Source organism: Homo sapiens, chromosome 19 (genome assembly GCF_000001405.40).
Source record: "Homo sapiens chromosome 19, GRCh38.p14 Primary Assembly".
In the NCBI taxonomy this organism is placed as follows: Eukaryota; Metazoa; Chordata; class Mammalia; order Primates; family Hominidae; genus Homo; species Homo sapiens.
Window position 1 is genome coordinate 56,764,703 of NC_000019.10, and position 21,540 is coordinate 56,786,242.

General features: G+C 41.2%; 1 protein-coding gene and 1 long non-coding RNA gene across 16 annotated transcripts in view; one reads left to right on the forward strand and one right to left on the reverse strand.

Annotated features, from left to right (window-relative positions):
- Nucleotides 1-619: 619 nt before the first annotated feature.
- The window catches only part of ZIM2-AS1 (ZIM2 antisense RNA 1), a 34,325-nt gene continuing 13,404 nt past the window's right edge, over nt 620-21,540 (forward strand). The window contains exon 1 of the long non-coding RNA NR_110744.1: nt 620-712. This is a non-coding gene — a long non-coding RNA (ZIM2 antisense RNA 1). The remainder of the gene's footprint in view (nt 713-21,540) is intronic.
- Nucleotides 9,845-21,540, reverse strand: part of ZIM2 (zinc finger imprinted 2) — a 66,180-nt gene continuing 54,484 nt past the window's right edge. For 11 of the 15 annotated variants that reach the window (NM_015363.5, NM_001369774.1, NM_001387358.1 and 8 more), the window contains 3 exons: nt 17,251-17,419; nt 14,675-14,770; nt 9,845-10,827 (listed from right to left, as the gene is read on the reverse strand). In NM_015363.5, the coding sequence (NP_056178.3) occupies nt 9,986-10,827; nt 14,675-14,770; nt 17,251-17,419 (1,107 nt within the window). In that variant the 3' untranslated portion in view covers nt 9,845-9,985. Of the gene's footprint in view, nt 10,828-14,674; nt 14,771-17,250; nt 17,420-17,697; nt 17,770-21,540 lie in introns of all 15 variants that reach the window. The other 4 variants (NR_163141.1, NR_163140.1, NR_163143.1 and 1 more) reach the window with 1 other exon arrangement.

Below are 21,540 nucleotides of genomic sequence, written 5' to 3' on the forward strand. Positions count from 1 at the left end.
GATTCCCTCCCTTCAGTCTTACCTTTCAAAGCTCATCCTCCCTCCACCTTAACTCCCCACACCCTGCCTATGCGAAAGCCACAGGGTGTTGCTGAAAAGATAAGTCAGGTCCCATCATCCTCCCGCTGCGGCCCTCCAGGTCCTCCACGATCGGACCCCACCCAGCTCTGCAGCCTCCTCTATCACGCTCTCTCCTGCAGCTTTTATTCCCAGCTATGCTGGCCTTAGCTCAGTTCTTCAAGCAAACCATTCTTCTCCCTACCTCGGGGCTCTGCACTTGCTCTTCCGTCAGCTGAAATACCCTTCCCCAAATCTGAGCATCACCGCCTCTGCATATCTGAGCTTCATTCTAGACGTCGTCTCTTTGGAAAGACCTCTCCTAACCACTTCTTTAAGTGGCATCATCCCCTCCCCCTCTCGCACATCCCCCCGTTTTATTGCTTTCTGAGCCCTTATCACTGTTGGAAATCACCGTGTTGCATAACTTTGCAGAGCCTGAGACAAGGACTTGGGAAGGGTGGTTTATGCCTGGGAAAAGGCAGGCCGGGTGCCGGGATGTAGTGCGCCTGCACGCCGTCTCCAGACTACAACTCCCAGAATGCGCGGCGCCCCGAGCGTATTTCCGCTTCCGGTGGCGTTTTAGCGGGAGATCCGAGCGTCTCGGCTGGTGGAAGGGGCGAGGAGCTTTGCAGTTGTGTGCGAGTGTGTACAGGTGAGTTTGTCCGTACGCGTGATTAAGTGTGTGCGTGTGATCAAGTGTGGGGGCGAGTGTTGCGTGAGCAAACCTGTGAGAGGGTGAGAGTCCGTCCGTGTAGGTGAGGGAGCTAGCAAGAGTGTGAGCGAGTGCGAATGTCCCTACAAGTGTGGGCGCGTGATGTGTTTGAAGGTGTGTTTGTTCGAGAGGGTGTGTGTTGGGGTCAACGAGGGTGCATGTGTGTGAGTGAGGAAGCCTGAGTGTGTGGTGTGTGCGCGAGCCAGCAAGCTGGAATGGCTCTCGCGTGCTTGTAGATCATGAGCGTGACTTGGTGGCTTTCTGTGATGGTATTGGGTGTGTATGGCTTTTTGCTGTCCATGCATGATTGTGTTAGCTTGACTCGTGTTGGTGTTGTTTATGTGGGAATGTGAGGGATTTAGTTCATGAGATTACGTGTGTGTTGCTCTGCAGTCTCAAGCTTGCTGGGTTAGCTGTTTCTGAATAGGATTTGACCCAAGTTCAGCGTCAGCTTTTCAAACAGCCTAAAAACTCTGGCCTTGGGCATTGAGAAATCAGAAAGTTTTTTTTTCTCTCTGTCCCTCTGACTATAACAGTTGTGGAAGAATTAGACAATTCTAAGAAAGAAAGTTTCCTGAATTAGCATTAGGAAAACTAGACACAAAAATCCCACTTTCTGAAAAAATGAGAAACTTCCTAATTGTAACTAAAATGATCAGTAAACAAGCCACTTGCTGGTTTGGAAGAAAGGAAACACACCTATGTGTTCTCTTTCTGCCAACACTTGAATTCTCTGGTCCAACTGTTACGCCGTCTACGTGACTTCCATTAAGAACAAGCAGCACCCTTAAATGCATCTCAAGTGTTGTATGTCGCTAAAGGCCATGACCGGTTCTTGGTTTTCCTTATCTCCAAGCTAAGCCTCAGTTTCTGCATGCACAAAATTAGGAAGATAATATCCACCCATCTACAACTCAATGCATTGAGTCACATGAAAGTTTTGTAGACAGGAAAAGTTCTGTGGCACTCGGCCTGATCAAGTCAGCTTTCCTGGGTGTTGCTGAGTTAACTATAAGGATTATATGGAAGGACCATCCCTAGACTAATTCTAGACCTGGCTCCTAATGTGCAGGTCAGCAGTTCTTTCCGTGACTGGCAAGTCTGAGGTCATTTGCAAGTTAAGGAAGATAAATGTACTGATATCTGACTTGGTTTGCGCCAGAGATGATTTTTTCAAAAGATGTATTAACTGGGTTGGATGCAGTGGCTCACCCCTGTAATACCAACACTTTGGGAGGCTAAAGCAGGAGGATCGCTTGACCCTGGAGTTCAAGACCAGATTGGGCAACATATCAAGACCCTATCTCTACAAAAATAAAAAATAAATAAAAAATTAGCTGGGCATGGTGGCACTTGCCTGTAGTCCTAGCTGCTTGAGAAGATGAAGTGTGAGGATTGCTTGGGCCCAGGAGCTGGAGGGTGCAGTGAGATGTGATCACATCACTGCACTCCAGCCTGGGCAACCGAGCAAGAACCTGGCTCTTAAAACAAAAATTTATTAACTGGAAAATTAGGCTTCTTCAACAGTTATTTCAAACTTAAGAGCCGGATGCCCCCACATAATATTAAAGCTGATTTTCAAGGATCTCTTTTCTCAATGTAAGAATGAGTCCCAAAAGTGAGAAAAGATCTGTGAAGGCTGTGGTGGAGCAGTGAAAAGCATTGTAATTTTCTTGACTCTTTGGTCCAAACATACAGGAGGGACTTCTTTCCAGTAAACAGGAGTGAGGAAAAGACAAGGAATTTAAATATATCTATGTATGATCTGCAAAATACACGAGCTGTGGCGTATAAGTTAGAAAGATCCAGCCATCTTTCATGGTTTGCAGCAGTAGATGGACACAGCTTTGCAGAATTGCAGAACTTGGGTGATTGAGATACCTAAACCTGGAGTTTTGAATCCCAGCTTTGTCATTACTAGTTGTGTGGCCTTAAACAAGTCACATCACCTCCCTGTGCCTTAGTGTCTCTGTATGTAAGATGGGGTGTTGTTACCCATCTCACAGTAATGGTGTGAGTGACCGATGTGAATCTCCCAGCATCCAGAAAGGCCCTCCAGTCTAGGAGGGGCCCTGAGACTATCAACAGTAGCCAGTTAGGACAAACCAAACTGAAAATAGCAATTATCAAGCCTCTATTCACTGACTTCAATAGCATAAACAGAGGCCAAAAAGAAAAAAGTGCCAGCTTCTCTGTTCTTTTTCCCACGTAGCAGCACCGGGCGAGGGTCAGATGAATCTATACAGGAGGTAGGGCTCATCTCCCTGCCAGGGAACCCTGAACAAAGGGCCCCAGATCAGACTTCTCAAGTCGGGATGATTTTACCTCCCAGATAAAATGTCGAATGACATTTTTGCTTGTCACAATTGGAGAAGCGGGTGCTCCTGGCATCCACTGAACAGAGGCCAGGGATACTACTAAACACCCTACAATGCACTGGATGGTCCACAGGAGTTGCCCAACACCAAATGTCAACTGCACCAGTGGAGAAATCAGTCCTGGTGCTGCTCCCACATCTGATCCTATCACTCTCCCTCTCACTCGCAACCCTTCTACTGTCTCCTCCACCAACATACAAAGCTATTTTCTGACCAAAGAGCTTCGCTCATGCTGTTTCCTCTGCCCGGACACTCTCTTCTCCAGGGTCCCAGGCTGACTTCTCATCTGATGGTCTTTGCTTAAAGGCCATCTCTTCAGAGAGCCTTTTTTGGACCAACCTGTCTTAAATTAGCCCTCCCACTTCCATGGTAACTCTCTACCCTCTTTCCTGGTTTTATTTTTCTTCATAGCATTTACCACCTTATTTTGCTTATTGCCTGTCTCCCCCATATTGCACATTAAAGTTTGAGAAATACTGGTTTCAAGAAAGGATTGAAAACTGAGGATCCTACAGGGGCCAGCAGAGATGATCTTGGGTGACTTTATTTTTTTATTTTATTTTATTTTATTTTTTATTTTTTTTAATTTTATTTATTTATTTTTTTTTGAGACGGAGTCTCGCTCTGTCGCCCAGGCGGGACTGCGGACTGCAGTGGCGCAATCTCGGCTCACTGCAAGCTCCGCTTCCCGGGTTCACGCCATTCTCCTGCCTCAGCCTCCCGAGTAGCTGGGACTACAGGCGCCCGCCACCGCGCCCGGCTAATTTTTTTTGTATTTTTAGTAGAGACGGGGTTTCACCTTGTTAGCCAGGATGGTCTCGATCTGCTGACCTCATGATCCACCCGCCTCGGCCTCCCAAAGTGCTGGGATTACAGGCGTGAGCCACCGCGCCCGGCCTGGGTGACTTTAATAAAGCAGCCAAATGTAGTTAGTCTGGTTCTAAAATTTCAGAATTCCTTGGCAATGCCGAAGTGACCCTATTCTTGAGATGCTGGCTTTTTAGAAGAAATATAAGAAAAACTCTATAGAAGAAAACTCACAACTGCAAAAACATGCAGAAATAACTAAGGAAAACTTGTGACATTTTGATAAGAAAACTATAAAGCTTTACTGATTGATACAAAAGCTTGAATGAATGAAAACACAGTATCATATTCCTGGATGTTAAGATTAAATGTAACAATGTTAATCCTTCCTAACTTATAAGTTCATTGCAATAATAATCAGAAGGTTGGTTTTTGATTACTAAAGATAAATTTTAATCTGGAATAACGGAAACTTATATATAACTTCACATAAATTTATGCATACATGTACATATACTTTTTAAAGGCACAATGATGGAAAACATTAAATATAGCCATAAAAATTAAGAAGAATATAGATCTAGGATAAAACAGGGCAACAAGCCAATAAAAGCAAGTAGATGGTCCAAATATAGAACCTACATTATAAAATATAACAATTTATAATTTACTAATAATGTTGGGGCAATTAACAATGAGGAAGAATAAATTTAATTCTCTTTTCATACAATATGCCCAAGTAAATTCAATAATCACTAAAGCATATTTTTAAAACTCCAGAATAAAACACTAATGTTTACAGAGGGTTAGATTTTGTAGGGTTGGAAGAAAATAGAAGGATTGAAATATATAAAAATTGAAACATTTTCAAAAAATAAAGAAAATACCAAAGAGGGAAAATCATTTGCAGCCAAGATGACAACAAAGAATTAATATCTTTATTATGCAAAGAGATGGTTCAAACTGATAGGAAGCTATTAAAGTCACATAGACAAATGATTAAAAGACAGACAATGTGAAGAGAGGAAACAATGGCTTAAGAAGCTTACAGGAGAAAGTTCAACATCCTTAAAAATCAAAGACAATTAAAATGAGATGCCCTTTCCCCTATTAGCAAAGTTGCTACTAAACACCCTACAATGAAAAGTGCTGTTATTACATAATGCCAGCTGGGCGGGAGGTGTGGGGGGTAGTGGGTGTGTGTGAGGAACACGTATCCCCAAGCATTACTAGCAGTAGCAGCAGTGCAAACTGATGTAATGTTTCCAAAAGGAACTTGGATATATCAAAAATCTTAAAAGCAATTATACACCTTCTGATGCAGCAATTCCTCTTTGGCAAATATGTATCGTAAAGAAATTTTACATTTGGAAAAAGGTTTAAGCACCGAAATGTTGATTATAGTATGTTCATAACTATGAAAAATTGAAACTGAATTTTACCTCCTAACAACAGAGGAGGAGCCATCCACAGAAAGCACTGGGTTTGCTGTGCCACTGGTAAGGCGGTGATAACCACAGACGAGTGAGTGATGACAGCAGTTTTGTAAGGTATAAGATTGGGTAGAAAAACAAGGTATACTATCGCACACATGGAATAGTCACAGCTATATGACAACTATCTATAAATACCTTAAAAATAGGTAATACAGGGTTGGGTGCGGTGGCTCACACCTGTAATCCTAGCACTTTGGGAGGCCAAGGCAGGCAGATCACCTGAGGTTAGGAGTTCCAGACCAGCCTGGCCAACATGGCAAAACCCCATCTCTACTAAAAATAGAAAAAAAAAAAAGCCGGGCAGGGTGGTGCATGCCTGTAGTCCCAGCTACTTGGGAGGCTGAGGCAGGAGAACTGCTTGAACCTGGAAGGCAGAGGCTGCAGTGAGCCACGATCGCGCCCCTGCACTGCAGCCTGGGCAACAGAGCGTAATACAGTCATGAGGGTAACAAAGTGGACAGGTATAGACCATGAAAATGAGATCTTTACTTCAGCCACTCCCCAGAGGCGACTACCTTCATAAATCTAGTCATTAATTTTAAGTTACAAGAAAACAGACTAAAAATGTTAGTGGTGTTCATAGTGTATTTTTCTGTTTCGGGGCAGAGGGAGGGAGAGAGATCTACATTTCTGTAAAGTAGTTGCCTTTAATGAGTCAAATATTGCTTTAAAAAGAAAAATAAACATTAATCCATCAGAAATGTGTACTTAAAAGGAAACTGAGTTCACACAAATTAGTAAGAAAAAGCATAAAGACAAAAAAGCTAAAGAGGTAAAGGGCCTAGGTTATACATAAAGAAGTTTTTAAAACTTATTTGGAAAAAATGCATAATAATAATGCAAAAATGGATTAATTATTGTTAATAATAATCTTTTTATTACCAAATAGGTGAAGATTTTTATCTTTTTATTACCAAAAAGATTTATCTTTTTATTACCAAATAGGTGAAGATTTTTATTTATCTTTTTATTACCAAAAAGATTTATCTTTTTATTACCAAATAGGTGAAGATTTTTTGGTTGTTAAGTGAATAAATACCCAGTGCAGGCAAAGTTATTTAAAGGGAGTATTTATTTGGTACCAGGGTGACAAAGGCAGTTCTTTGCACATACAAAAACTGCTTAGTGTGTCTTGTTTGCCTTGGGTGCTGTGCTGAGAAAGATCCAACCCTGTCCTCAGGTTCACTGGAACCAGAGAGTGCATAACTGGTTAACAACGCCTGCCAGGGACTCGAGAGGGAGGATTGTAAGTTTACCACCTATTTCATACCTCTGGCCCTCCCTATGCTGAGGGCTACAAATGGCAGAGCCCCTCCACAAACAAATCCAGCAGGATCTTTCGAGAGCCTTAGAAATGTTCATCACATGTCATCTAGTGAAACCACTTTTTGGAAATCGATTCTAAACTGTAAATACAGTAATTTATGCTTTGTTAATCAGACTTTTATATAAATTAAAAATTGTCACAAAATCAGAAAAGAACTTTAAACTTGTAATATTATTTTTAAAAACCTACACATAGAAAAAAATATTTGTAGAAAAAATACTAAAATATGATAAAATGTGGTTGCGTTTTGATGTGTTAACTATGGTTTACAACTCTAGTTTATTGCTGCTAATAAAACATTTTAAAAAATAAATTTTAGGCCGGGTGCAGTGGCTCACGCCTGTAATCCCAGCACTTTGGGAGGCTGAGGTGGGCACATCACGAGGTCAGGAGTTTGAGACCAGCCTGACCAACATGAGGAAACCCTGTCTCTACTAAAAATACAAAAATTAGCTGAGTGTGATGGCACGCACCTATAATCCCAGCTACTCAGGAGGCTGAGGCAGGAGAATCGCTTGAACCCGGGAGGCAGAGGTTGCAGTGAGCCGAGATCATACCACTGCACTCCAGCCTGGGTGACAGAGCGAGACTCCATCTCAAAAAAAAAAAATAATAATAAAATAAAATTTAAAATACTCCCTAATTGCAACTACTTGTTACTGAGTGCCTTCTAAATACCAGGCACTATTAGGCTCTTTTCTATAGATGAACTCTAGACCTTTTAATGGTTCTCCCAGGGGAGGATCCCCATTTCCTAAGAAAACGAGGTATAATCAGCCTCTAAGGAGGACCTTGAAATTTGACCTCAGCTCTCCCTGGCTCCAAAGCCCACCCTCTCTCTTCTCTGCCAAGGGTCTCTTCTACTTGTGAATATAACTACCTCCCTGGACTTGTACTAGTTGCATACCTAGAACTATTAGGAAGTTTATTAGCCTTCTCTGTTTTGCAAAATTTTCTTTAATATGCTCAATATTATTTGTATAGTGAGGAAACAATACCTAATAAAACTATGTTAAAAATCATAGTTCAGGCCAGGCACGGTGGCTCCACACCTGCAATCCCAGCACTTTGGGAGGCCAAGGTGGGGCGGGTCACAAGGTCAGGAGATCAAGACCATCCTGGCTAACACAGTGAAACTCCGTCTCTACTAAAAAAAAAAAAAAAAAAAAAAAAAAAAAAAAAAAAAAAAAAAAAAAATTTGCCAGGCATGGTGACGGGTGCCTGTAGTCCCAGCTACTTGGGAGGCTGAGGCAGGAGAATGGCATGAACCCGGAAGGCGGAGCTTGCAGTGAGCTGAGATCGCGCCACTGCACTCCAGCCTGGGTGACAGAGTGACACTCCATCTGAAAAAAAAAAAAAAAAAAAAAAAAAAAAAAGAGAAATTATAAGCAACCCCAGTTTCCAACCATGAAAGGCCAGATGAAATAAATTAGGACACATCCATGCAACCAAGTACTAAAAGGAAATTTAGGAATGTATTTCTGTATATGGAAAGATGTTCATAATATATGAGAATGAAAATGACAGCCCTCAAAACAGTGTTTATGGTAGTATATTTCAATTCATAAAAATATAACTTTTTTTTTCTGAGATGGAGTCTCATTCTGTTGTCCAGGCTGGAGTGCAATGGTGCAATCTCAGCTCAGTGTAACCTCTGCCTCCCAGGTTCAAGCGATTCTTGTGCTTCAGCCTCCCAGGTAGCTGGGACTATAGGCGAGCGCCACCATGCCCGGCTATTTTTTCATATTTTTAGTAGAGACAGGATTTCATCATTTTGGCCAGGCTGGTCTCAAACTCCTGACCTCAGGTGATCTGCCTGCCTCGGACTCCCAAAGTGCCAGGATTACAGGCATGAGCCACCATACCCAGCCTAAAAATATAATTTTTAAAAGCTATACAGGTTTATGCATAAGAAAAAATGGGCATAAACTTTTAGCAGCAAGTATATTTGGGAGGGGGAAATACAAATATTCAAAGAAAAAACAAACTTTTTCTAGTTTTCTTCAGGGAATGTATATTACTTGCATCACCACTAAAAAACTTAAAACATGAGTGTTTCTAAATTTATAGGCGCGAGCCACCGTGCCCGGCCTACAATGTGAATATACTTAACATTACTGAACTGTATGCTTAAAAACGGTTAAGACACTAAGCTTTATGTGGTTTTTACCACAATGAAATATAAGAATTTTTAAATGAGTTCTTCTAAATTTAAAAATGTAAACATGAAGAGGAGTCTCTAAACTGTTAGACATATCACGAACTGGGTAGGAACAGGAGGGAAGTTCTATATTAACCTCAGGGTTGCACAGGCCTTAAAAACGTGAGAGGGGATTGCTTTAGATTAAGAGACTTAAGAGATTAAACAACCAAATGCAATCTGTGGACCACATTTAGATCCAGATTGAAACAAGCCAACTGTCAAAGGACATCTTGGAGATAATCAGGGAAGTCTGGTTATCGTGTGAGTAAAACCCTTTGTCTGAGGTGATTTAAAAATTTCCTTTTTAAGTAGAGGTACTGAAGTTTAAAAAACATAAATGAGTCCATTAAAAATATGTCAAGTAAATAACAGTTCAAGCAGAATACAGATTTAGCAAAAACTGCAACGGGAGAAGTGAAATAAAAGACTGATCAGGCTATGAGCCTTCTGACCATGAGGAAAGAAGCAGATTTCATGAGAGTGAATGAGGTAGAAACTACCTTAAAGACATGATAGGGTTTTCCTGGAGGTGAAGGGAGAAAAATTATGGAAGATATAGAAAGGAAGTGGTTCCTGAAAAGGATGGGAGCTTATTGAAAAGGCACAGGAGCCGACTGAAAGAGCTCCCAATGGCCAAAGCTGTAGCCATTTGAACAACAAAATAAATGACAGTACTGAATTACAGCCTGTAGAATACATATCCACGAATCCAATCTGATATAAAGGAGGGCAATCCTCCCTCACGATGAGTATCACTGAAAAAGGCAAAATCTATTAGCTACTTTCCTATGCAACAAAAATATTCTTTGTAAGCTTTTCACCTGTGTGACGTGAGGAATCCCCTCTTCGAAAAATTGCAACTTTTTTTTTTTTTTTACCACACTTTGATGAATGTTCAAGTTGTTAACAAGGTGGGGCTAGTGAAAGGCCTTCTCACACTCACAACACTCTAGGAGGAAGCCAATAATGTTGAGAAAAGTGTGTGCTGTGACTAAAGGTTTCTCAACAGTGATCGCACTCAACAGTTTTCTCTTGAGAATGGAGTTGATAATGTTGAGTGAGGTATGAGGGTCGGCCGAAACATTTCCCACATAGCTGACACTGGTAAGGCCTCTCTTGAGTGTGAGTTCTATAATGCTGAATGAGATATGAATTCCGACTGAAGACTCTGCCACAGTCACAACACTGGCAGGCTCTCTCTCCAACGTAGTCATGTTTCCGCTGATAACGAATTAAGTATGTCTTGCTGTGGGACAACCCAGGAGGAAGGACTCTTGCTGCCTCATGGGCTTTGAGATGTTGAAGAAGATGCACATTCTGGAGAAAAGCTTTGCCGCACTGAAAACATTCAAAGTAGTCCTCCTGACTGTGAATTCTTACACGTTCACAGAGATTCGCACACTGGACGGAAGGCTTTCTACCTTCATTGCAGCCAGAAGTCTTCCTACCAGAATGGGTCTTCTGATGTCTGTTGAGGTGTGGCATGAGATAGAAGGCTTCAGCACACTGTTTACATTCATAGGGTTTCTTCCCAGTATGGATCCGTTCGTGTCTCCTAAGGGCTACTTGCGTACTAAAGGTTCGTTTGCAAAATTCACATCTGTTGTGTTTGTTCTCTTGGGATGCTGACTGGGGACTCGTACATATTCCAGGAGCAGTGCCTTCCTGGGGATCCTTTCCTAGAGGATCCTTTGATTGTTTACTAAGATTAGAGCTTCTCTCAAATTCATCACTGCCATAGCTTCTTTCCGGAGTGAGGGTCTTGGGGTCATTCATTGTTATAGGAGTCAAAAGTTTCTCTTGGTTGCCCTGGTGTGGTTCCAATGGATCATCATGAGACTCTCCTGCAGAGACAATGCCAGAAGTTACCTACCGCCCAATTATCCAATCCTGCCCCCCAATAATGATATTTCTATAGGCAGGCTTTGCCCTGGAGTTAGTGCTTTGGTTTCAGGTCTCTTTTCCTAATCTGAAAAAAAAAAAGTAAAAATTCCTCTATTCTTTTTACTCAGAGAGACATACCAATATAATAGAAATAAAGAGACCAAGGATAACAAACAGATCTTATGGAGGTTGAGAGAGTTTTCTGAAAACCTAAAGAGAAAATGGAAAAAGGATAGAAAGGACAGTAAGTGGCCGGGCACAGTGGCTCATACCTGTAATCCCAGCACCTTGGGAGGCCGAGATGGGCGGATCACAAGGTCAAGAGATTGAGATCATTCTGGCCAACATGGTGAAACCCTGTCTCTACTAAAAATACAAAAAATTAACTGGGCATGGTGGCGCGTGCCTGTAGTCCCAACTACTCAGGAGGATGAGGCAGGAGAATCGCTTGAACCCGGGAGGTGGAGGTTGCAGTGAGCAGAGATCGCACCACTGCACTGCAGCCTGGATGACAGAGTGAGACTCTGTCTCAAAAAAAAAAAAAAAAAAAAAAGGAAAAGACAGTAAGCAAGGAAGAGTGAGGAAGAAACAGAAAAAATATCATCTAGGAGGATGGCGTGTCAAAAAGATGCCACAATTGTACAGAGTAGAATGAGCAGAAATCAGAGAAAGAGCTGGGGTTGGGGTTTGTCAGCATTTTCCAAACCATGTTTGGCAGATCGCTAATATTCTGAAAAACAAATAGCTGTTACCATGAAGGGGGCTCCACTGTCAAGTTAATTTGGGAAATGTTGTATGACACAAATCAAGCAGGTTTCATTCCTGTAGGATTCAGAACTTTTAATATGCACCTTGAACCCTAAAGAGGGAAGGTACAGAATGTGGCATTTCTTAAAGTGATCTTGCTATGAAACATTTTTTTTAGAACATCTATTACTATGGTTCTTCAGGACTACTGAGGAAACACTGGAGCAAACAGGTCAACAACCTCTTGTTCAGAATTAAACAAAGATTCTCCTTTCTTAGCTCTGAATCTCTTGTTTTACCCCAATCTACACTGTCAACCAATCCTCTTTAATTCAATATTTATTAAATGCCTGTTTTGTGCAAGGCATTATCTAACCAGATGGGTCAGAGGTCTGTAAAAGGGACTCTAATCAGACTGTAAGTGACGACAGGAGCAGAGATGGGGGAACTGACTCCACTTAGGAACAGAAAATGATTAGTGGAGGGGACAGCATTTGGCGTCAGTAAACGGGGAAGGGGGGCGAGTTTATATAAAACAGCCTGAGTTAAGCTATAGAACTGTGAAAATATACAGTCCTGGGGAGCTAGAAACACAGGATCTTAGTTGCAAGATCTGTAGATGAGGCTGGGATGCAAATTTCAGGCCAGAATGGGAGGAACTTCAGTGTTTTGCTAAAAGTTTGAATTTTATCTTGACGGAGGTAAGAAGCTGATAAAAAGTCTGTGCTTTATAAAGGCAACTCTCTGGTTGGAAAAATACTGAAGCCAAGGAAGTCAAGTATAAGACTGTGGTTTGGAAGAGAGGTGATGAACACAGTGGTTGCATCCTGGCAGACACTTGAAGTATGTGAACAGAGTACAGGTAAAACAGCAGAGCCAGAACATGGCTTAGGAAGTCATCAGGAAAAGAGGGATAGCTGGGCCCATCACAATGGATTGACTCTTTTAGGAAGTGGTCTTTGAAGAGAACACTCAAGAACGGAAGAGTAAGAGAACACCTAGTCCTCACTGGCTCTTCTGTTTTCCTTACCCTGCTGTATATCCAATATTTCAGCATGTTCTGTCAGTTCTTCTTTCAGGGAATACCTCCAACCTGACCCCTCTACAACCACGGCCTCAGCCTCCATCATCTTTAGCCTGGTGGACTTCAATGGCCTCTTGAACTGGTTTCTCTGGCTTTTCCTCTTAAAGCCCGTTCTCCATAGGACAGCCAGATGGATCTTTCTAGAATAGCACTGCCCAGTAGAACTCCCAGTGATGATGGAAATGGTCTACATTTTTGCTGTCCAGCACAGTAGCCATTAGCCACATGTTGCTATCAAATACTTGCAATGTGGCTTGTGTGACTGAGGAACTAAATTTTAAATTTTATGTAATTCTTACTAGTGTAAATGTAAGTAGCCACATGTGCCTACTGTCTAGCATATTGGACAGCAAAGTTCTAAAATATCAATAACACTACTTCATGCCCCTGCTCAAAACCTCCCCCCATCTTTGCATCTCACTTATAATAAAATTCTTTAACATATTCCTAAGCGGGCTGGCCCTTGACTATCTCTGTGATCTCATCTTCTATCTTCCACTTAACTCAGACCATATTGCCCTTCCTACTGTTTTTGGAACACCCAAGCTCATTCCAATCTCAGGGCCCTGGCACTTGCTGTTCGCTCTGCCTGTAACACTCTTCCTCAAGATTTCTACATTGGTCAGCCCCCCATCTCATTCAAGTCTTCCACAGTGAGGCCTTCTCTGACTATTCCATCTCAAGCAACCTCCCATATCTCATTCTCTATCCACTTTACGCTCCGTTATTATTTGTCTATTTTTTAAAACTACTGCCCCCATTAGAATGCAAGCTCTATGAAGGAAGAGATTTGTCTGTCTTATTCATTATTGTATCCACAGATACTAGGACAGTATCTGGCCCACCACAGAAGCCTGATAAATATCTATGAGATGACTGAATAATGAAGAAACCAGAGTAGGGAAAGAAAAGAAGACAATGAAAGAAACAGAGAGGAGTCTTCCTGGTAACTTCTTGAATTTTGTTTGGACATCCACTTTTCCACTCACACAGACAAACGTGGAGGAGGGCTGTGTCAATCAGCACTGTACTGGACACAGCTGCTAGTTCAGGAAAGGGATATAACCCGATATGGAACAATGAAAAATCAGGAGAGCTGGAAAAGATGCTTCCTCTCTCTTGAGAATGCTTCTTGGACACACCAGCTCTTTCTTGCTCCTTTTTTGTACAGGAACAAAAAAATGCATCTAGGATTTATTGTCAGAGTCGAAGGCAGAGTAGAAGGAGAAAATGAAACTAGGTCTTCGATGACTTCACTGGGTCCCTGAATACAGCCCAGCTGATCAGTATTATAGGCTAATAATCCCTCTATGACTTTAGCCAGTTTGGGTGTGGGTTTTCTGTTAACTACAACTGAAGGACAACAGTGATCCAGCCGCTGCACATGGTGACCCATTTCATGAAGATGGTAAGCGTTATTAGACTGTAGCCATAGAGTTTGGAGGAGGTGAAGTCTATGGTTCCAGAACTATAAGGACGCTAGTGGGAACCTTTTGTGGAAGTTTCAGAAAAGAGCGTATATGTGTGTCTGAGTTGGCATAAGTAGGGGGATGGAAACCAGAGGGTGGGGATTAAGAAGAAAAGGGAAGGGAGCGTCTAGGTGTCAACAAGTCTGAGGAGCTGATGTGAGGGAAAGTGGGAGGGCAGTGAGAAAGACAAGTGGTATCAGGCCAGGATTTTTTGTTTGTCTCAGTTAAAGAGGAGAGATGTATGATGTTTAGCTGCAAGGAGAAAGGCATGAGTGGACGGAAGGGCTGGAACACGAGGGTGAAAGGACACTGGCCTCCCTGGAGCTAAGCAGGAGAGGAGCTCATGCTGCATGAAGAGATGGGCTTCAGAAAGGAGACCAAGGGGAGTACTGAGGAGAAAGGGCACCTACCAGACTTCTCCTGGCCCAGGGGACTTTGAGGAAAGCTCTCTGACTAGCATTTACTGGTTCCCCCTCCTACACCCCGGGCTTCCCCCTCACTACTCACCTTGACAAATCACTGTATGTCTGCTGTCTGTCTCCATTGCATATGATTCCTCCTCTTCCAGGCGTGAGATAATGTCAGGTTTAGAGAACTGGTGCCCTGTTGGAGAGGAAGACTGAGAACTCAGGGTTTCAGTAACTCCCAACCTTAGGTCCCAAAGACTCTGGAATAATAAGGAAGGAACAAACTCTCGCAGGAGTAAAATGAAGCCTGTTTCCAGCCTACAGAGATTTTACCCCCTAAGGGACATCTAAAATGTATGGAGATATCTTTGGTTGTCATAACTGTGGGAGCAGAGGGAGGGGTTCCTAGTGTCTAGTATGGCTGGAGGCAGGGACACTGCTCAACATTCTGCAAGACAGCCCCACAACCCGGGACGATCTGGTTCCATGTCAAGAGTGCCAAGGTTGAACAACCCTGCTATGAAGACTAAAAAGGGGGCATGAGGGCAGTGTGCTGAGCTCTACACTTCAGCACCAAGAATCTGACATAGCTGCTCAAAAAGTCAACATTATGGTTCTTTTCCCTCCTGGGATAACGTCCACTGCCCCTTTGTCTTGAAGTGCTGCTCCTCCCCCTCCCTTAGTTCCTTGTTTCCCAAACTTTTATCATTTGCATACCAAATTATTATCTATTTGTTTACTGTCTGACTCCACTGAAATGTAACATCCATGAGAAGGGGAAATGTCATCTATTTTGTAACCAAAATGCCTATACCAGGCCTTGTATGTCTGAATTCACTGACGAGTTAATGAATGACCCTTGCATTTTGGCATTTCTACGTGCCATTTATAGTCATATTCAGTATTTATTTAATGTTTTTCTTTAGATCACCTTTCTTTTTAACTTAGATATGCTTATTTTCTTTTTTCTTTTTTTTTTTTTTTGAGACAGAGTCTCACTCTGTCTCCCAGGCTAGAGTGCAGTGGCACGATCTTGGCTTACTGCAGCCTCTGCCTCCCAGATGCAAGTGATTCTTCTGCCTCAGCCTCCTGAGTAGCTGGGAATACAGGCGCCCGCCACCATACCCAGCTAATTTTTCGTAGTTTTAGTAGAGACGGGGTTTCACCATGTTGGCCAGGCTGGTCTCAAACTCCTGACCTCAAATGAACCACCTGCCTCAGCCTCCCAAAGTGTTGGGATTACAGGCGTGAGCCACTGCGCCTGGCCAATACGCTTATTTTCAATGGAAGCTTTATATCAACCCTATAAATGGAAACCAATGTCACTCACACACACACACAAAAATGGAAGGTAACATCATGATAAATATAACAGAAACTAAGGTTATTGAGTGCTAGCTAGCTTCTGTTGCCTATCTAACATTCAGGGTTTGATGTCTGCTCTCACTTTACTAAAATGGAAGAATAACAAGATAGACATGCTAACACCAAACTGATATTCTCTACGTGATACCATCAGAAGGCTTAAAGGAAAATTGAAGAACTTCTTTTTCACCAACAGATTGAAGGATTATGTCATGCTGTCCATGTACTGCCTAAAATAATCTTCTATTTAGCCCACTGTACTCATTCCACACTTAGGAAGACAATGTCCCAGGTGATATATAAGATCTCTATTAACACAAAACCTTCAGTGTTAAAGAAGCCAAGGGCTCACAAGATAGAAATGCTCCAGGTCACTGCATGAGAGCTGGAATGATACAATTAATTTATTTCCTCTATTTTGATACTATTCCCTCTATTTTAAGTCATAAAATGTGGTAAGCTAGAGAAGAGTGTAAAATATGCTGGAAAATGTACTTCCTTGTAACCGATAAGAACCAGAGTTAAACATATGCATCCCTGTGCTAGGTTTGGGGTAGGATGTGTGTTTTCCCACTAGGTCCCTGACTTGCCAGTGGAACAGTGTTTGTTTTGGATTCTGTTTTTCAGGAGACCTCAAGCCCCCAAAAAAGCCACTGAAAAAGGAGCTTGGCACTGGCAACGTAAACTTTTCACTTTTCACTTTCAACTTTACCTGTGAGAACAGGTAAAACAATTTTGCCTCCGCACGTAAAGAGAGATTGGCAATCTCTGTTTCTTCAAACTCAAGCCAGTAGAAGTCTTTGGAGCTCCTGGAATTTTTAGCAATTCCTTCGCTCATTCAGTAAACATCATTTTGAGCCTTCCATTGTGCTGAGAACTGGTGGAGCAAACCCCTGTCTGGTAGCACATCAGAGTTTAAAAGAGCAGATTCTGGAGTCTGCTTGGGGTTAAATCCCAGCTTTCGACAAGTACTTTAGCCTTTCAATGACTCAGGTTCCTCAAAGTTAAAAATGTCAATAATAACAACAACAATAAGTATACCTCCCCCTCACAGGCCTAGTGTGAGGATTAAAGGAGTTGAAATATGCTAAACACTTACACAAGTGCCTGACACATATGTCGTGCTCAAGAAATGTTAGCTATGTTATAATTAACAGTGAATTTGATATTCAAATATTAAAATATTGCCTCTGACCTGGGTTGAGACTCACTGACATGGTGAACCACCATTACTGATGAGAGGACACGAAGGAGTTGAGAGCTACTGCCCTAGTGGGAAGAAACCAAGTCCTGTGGAGAAGGCATACTTACCCAGGGAGACCAGGTTCCGGTAATTCTCCAGCATCACCTCCCTGTAGAGGTTTCTCTGAGCAGCACTAAGGGAACTAAGTTCCTCTGGGCTGAAGTCCACAAGCACATCCTCGAAGGTCACCAACTCCTCAAACACCAGAAATGTTCCTAAGTGTTTGAAGTCCGGGAACTATCCCAGAGAGAGGAGAAGGGACGTGATTAGAGAGGACTGAACATGATGCAGGCATTCAGACCAGCAGAGAGCTTCCACGTGCTCTAATCCAGAGCCACAGGCACCTGGCATTGCATCTTTCTTTGTCTTATCGAGTCTGAGAGAAGTGGGAACATTACTGAAACAGTTCCTATTGCTAATTACTACAGATTTGGGTTGAGGGGGAAATATCCTTTTAAGCCACTTTATAAAGACAGAATGCAAGCATGCAAATACTTAAAAGCTCAGCAGTATACCTCAGCCTCAGGAATCAGAGTCCTGGCTCTGGTTCTTTGTGAGTTTGGGTAGGTTAAGCCTCAGGGTCCCACCTGTAAAACAAAGTGCTCATAACATGAAGAAATATTCAATCTTGTTAATAAACAAGGAGATGAAAATCAAAATGACAAAATACCATTTTATACCCATTCAATTAAGTATTGGGTAAAAATTAAGTAATTGAGTGAAAATTAAGAAGTGGGACAATACCAACTATTATATAAAACATGGATCCACTGGCGATGCTAAGGGAAATGTAAATTAGAAAATCACTTTTGATCCAGAAATTCTTTTTTTAATTTTTAAAAATTTTTGTGGGTACATAGTACTTGTATATACTTACGGGGTACATGAGATGCTTTGATACAGGCAGGCAATGTGGAATAAGCACATCGTGGGGAATGGGGTATCCATCCCCTTAGGCATTTATCCTTTGAGTTACAAAGGATAATAAAGAGTTACACTCTTTATTTTAAAATGTACAATTAAGTTATTATTGACTATAGACTCCCTATTGTGCTATCAATAGTAGGTCTTATTCATTCTTTCTACTTTTTTTTTGTACTTGCTAACCATCTCCACCTCCCTCCAGCCCCCCAACTACCCTTCCCAGCCTCTGAGAACCACCCTTCTAATCTCTATTTGACCCCAAAATTCTATTCCTAGGTATATTTACTCATGTGTACTTAAAGACATGGATGGGCATGTTTATTATAGCATGTTTGGAACATCCAAAATCTGGAAATAACCCAAACATTCATTAACAGTAGAAGAGATAAATATAGTATAGCCATACAATGAAATAGTATTCTAGCAATAGAAATCAATTAACTACAGTTATATACAACAATCTTAGTAGCCTAAGGTTGAATTTAAAAGGCAGATACCATATACCCAAAGGAAAATAAGCTGTCCTACCAAAAAGACACATGCACTCATATGTTCATCACAGCACTGTTCACAGAAGCAAAGACATGGAATCAACCCAAGTGCCCATCTACAGTGAACTGGATAAAGAAAATGAGGTGTGTATACACCATTGAATACTATGCAGCCAAAAAAAGAACAAAATCGTGTCCTCTGCAGCAACCGGAATGCAACCGGAAACCTCAGATGCAACGGGAAACCATTATCCTAAGCGAACTAACGCAGAAACAGAAAACCAAATACCACGTGTTCTCACTTATTAGTGGGAGCTAAACACTGGGTATACATGGTCATTAAAATGGGACAACAGACACTAGGGAATACAAGAGGAGGCAGGGAGGGAGGAGAATAAGGATTGGAAAAGGCCATTTATTGGGTACTATGCTTACTATCTGAGGTGACATACTCATTCATGCTCCAAATCTTAGCATTGTGCAATACACCTTTGTAACAAACCTGCACATGTGTGCCCTGATTCTAAAATAAAAGTGAAAAAAAAAGATAGACTGACCTCTTCAAATCTAACATTATCCTGAGGCAATAGGATACTTACCTTCCTTAGCAAATCTGAATATAGAAAATTGTAACACGTGTAAGAAAATGCATAGGATCTCCCCACTCAAATATGCTAATCCAATAAGTCTTTATAAACAGTTAATGACAAAAATTGAAAATTAAAACTTACTAGCCATTTTGCTCAAAATGTTGTAGCAGTTAATGATTTTTCTGTCTGTTTCCAGTCATACTTTGGCAATAAAAAAAATGATTCAAAACCAAAGGTACATTGTTGTTAGGCTGAGGTCTTAACCTGGCAATCACAGATTCTTAAGGCTGAGCTTTGTAGTGCATGTGCACCTTTCTGGAAGATAAAAATTCCGTTTCTCAAAGGAGTCTGTGACTCAAAATATTTAGCATAGAGAGCAATCTCAGTTTTTCATAACCTTTTTTCTTGTGCTTTATTTTACTTAATACAGTTAATATGCTACAATACCTTGAATATAATGGATAATCAATATTATTATATTAAAAAAAGATTGTTAAAAGAGAAATGTTACCTGATTCAGTATAAGAAAATTGAATTTAGTTGTAGAAAAGGTATCTATTTCAAGTAAGAATCACTGTATGGTAGGTCATGATTTCTCAGTCACAGTGTCATATTTAAACGATGGTGGTCATGTGGTAGTCAGAGCATTTTTAAGACTGCTATCTTACTGTTCCCAAATGTTTTCCTACTGTTAACTGTCCATTGACCCTCCTTTCTTTTTTCCATCTCATACTCTGTAACTATTAGAGAAAATCATGGGAACAAACCTACACTGGAATAAGGAGTTTTGAGTTCTGCTATTAGCTAGTTGTAAGGCATGGGTTAATTAATCTCTTTGATTCTCATTGTCTCATCTTTAAAATAAAGAGATCCATTACATTATCTCTAAAGTCATTTACACTCTAAAATTTTATAATAAAACACATAAGATCCCTTGATACTATAAAAATAAAAAGGCAGATACCAGAACATTACATAAGACTCTGATATCCATTTTATTAATATACATCTTTTGTGTTTTAAGTGAAACTTTCTAAAACTTTTTATGCAAATCAACAAACACTGGATTAAATTAGGGATCATATACTGGCTGCCCAGCTCCTTCAGATGGGTTTATTTGGCTCACGTGGTCCTATTGTTTTTTAAAAATTTGTATTAGCTGCCAATACCAAAAAAAAAAATTAGGAAATGTCATTCTTAACTGGTTTTGTGGCTTCTGATTAAAAGCATTAGAAAATCTGGGGACTGGGTCCACATTCTCACATGGCACCATCAGCAAAAGCTGAGTCACAGCTGCCCCTATATATGGGACAGGCACTCCCCCTGTTTCTCATAATCCACCCAGACCAATTCCTTATTTATATTCCCTTGGTAGTCCCTCCAGGGCATCTTTGCTTGGAATCCCTGGCACAGACAAGGTAGGGACAGAGGGCTACTCTCAGGAGCAGATATTCTAGAACAGTGTTTCTCAACCTTTTTTCCTTACCTCGCTCCCCCCACCCCAGTAATCTTTATACGTCATTTTTTCTAATCACAACCCCCATGAATTTTTTTCTGGTTCTAAAGAAAGCAGAGTATATTAATTTCATTATTGTCTTTTAGGTTTCTAAAACATGACTTAACAAGAACACTGGAGAACATTTTTGAAACAAAAAATCAGAAAACCTCATAACAGTATCATGTCCCTATAAGAGCTGCCATTTGTTAAAGGCCTACAATAAGCCACACCCTTTGTGTGGGTAGAAGGGGTTGTCTTCATTTACACTATTTTCATTGTTGCAAAGTACATTCCAGCCCTTGACATGGATATACTTTTTCAAACAATTATAAATTAGCATTGATTCACATACACAGGTATTGGATGGTTCCAATTTTAATGTGCACACAAATCACCTGGGGATCTTGTTAAACACAGATTCTAATTCAGTTGGTGGAAGTGGGGCCACAGATGCTGTATGTCTATTTTTTTAAATAACAGCTTTATTGAGATTTAATTTACGTATTATAAAAGTCACCTAAAGTATACAATTTAATGAGTTTTTAAGCATATTCACAGAGTTGTGCAACCATCACCCCAATAAATTTCAGAACATTTCATCGCCCCAAAAGAAACCCTGCACCTTCTAGCAGTCACTCTCCATTTCCCTCCAACATCTTCCCACGCCCTACCCCAAGCCCTAGGCAACCACTAACATACTTTATGTCTCCATGGATTTGCTGATTCTGGATATTTCATAAAAATGGAATCGCACGGTACCCCATACATTTTAATATCGCAAATATACTGTGTATGTACTGTATGTATGTCTGTGCTGTACACATAAGAAGAATAGTATGTGTTCACCCTCAAGAA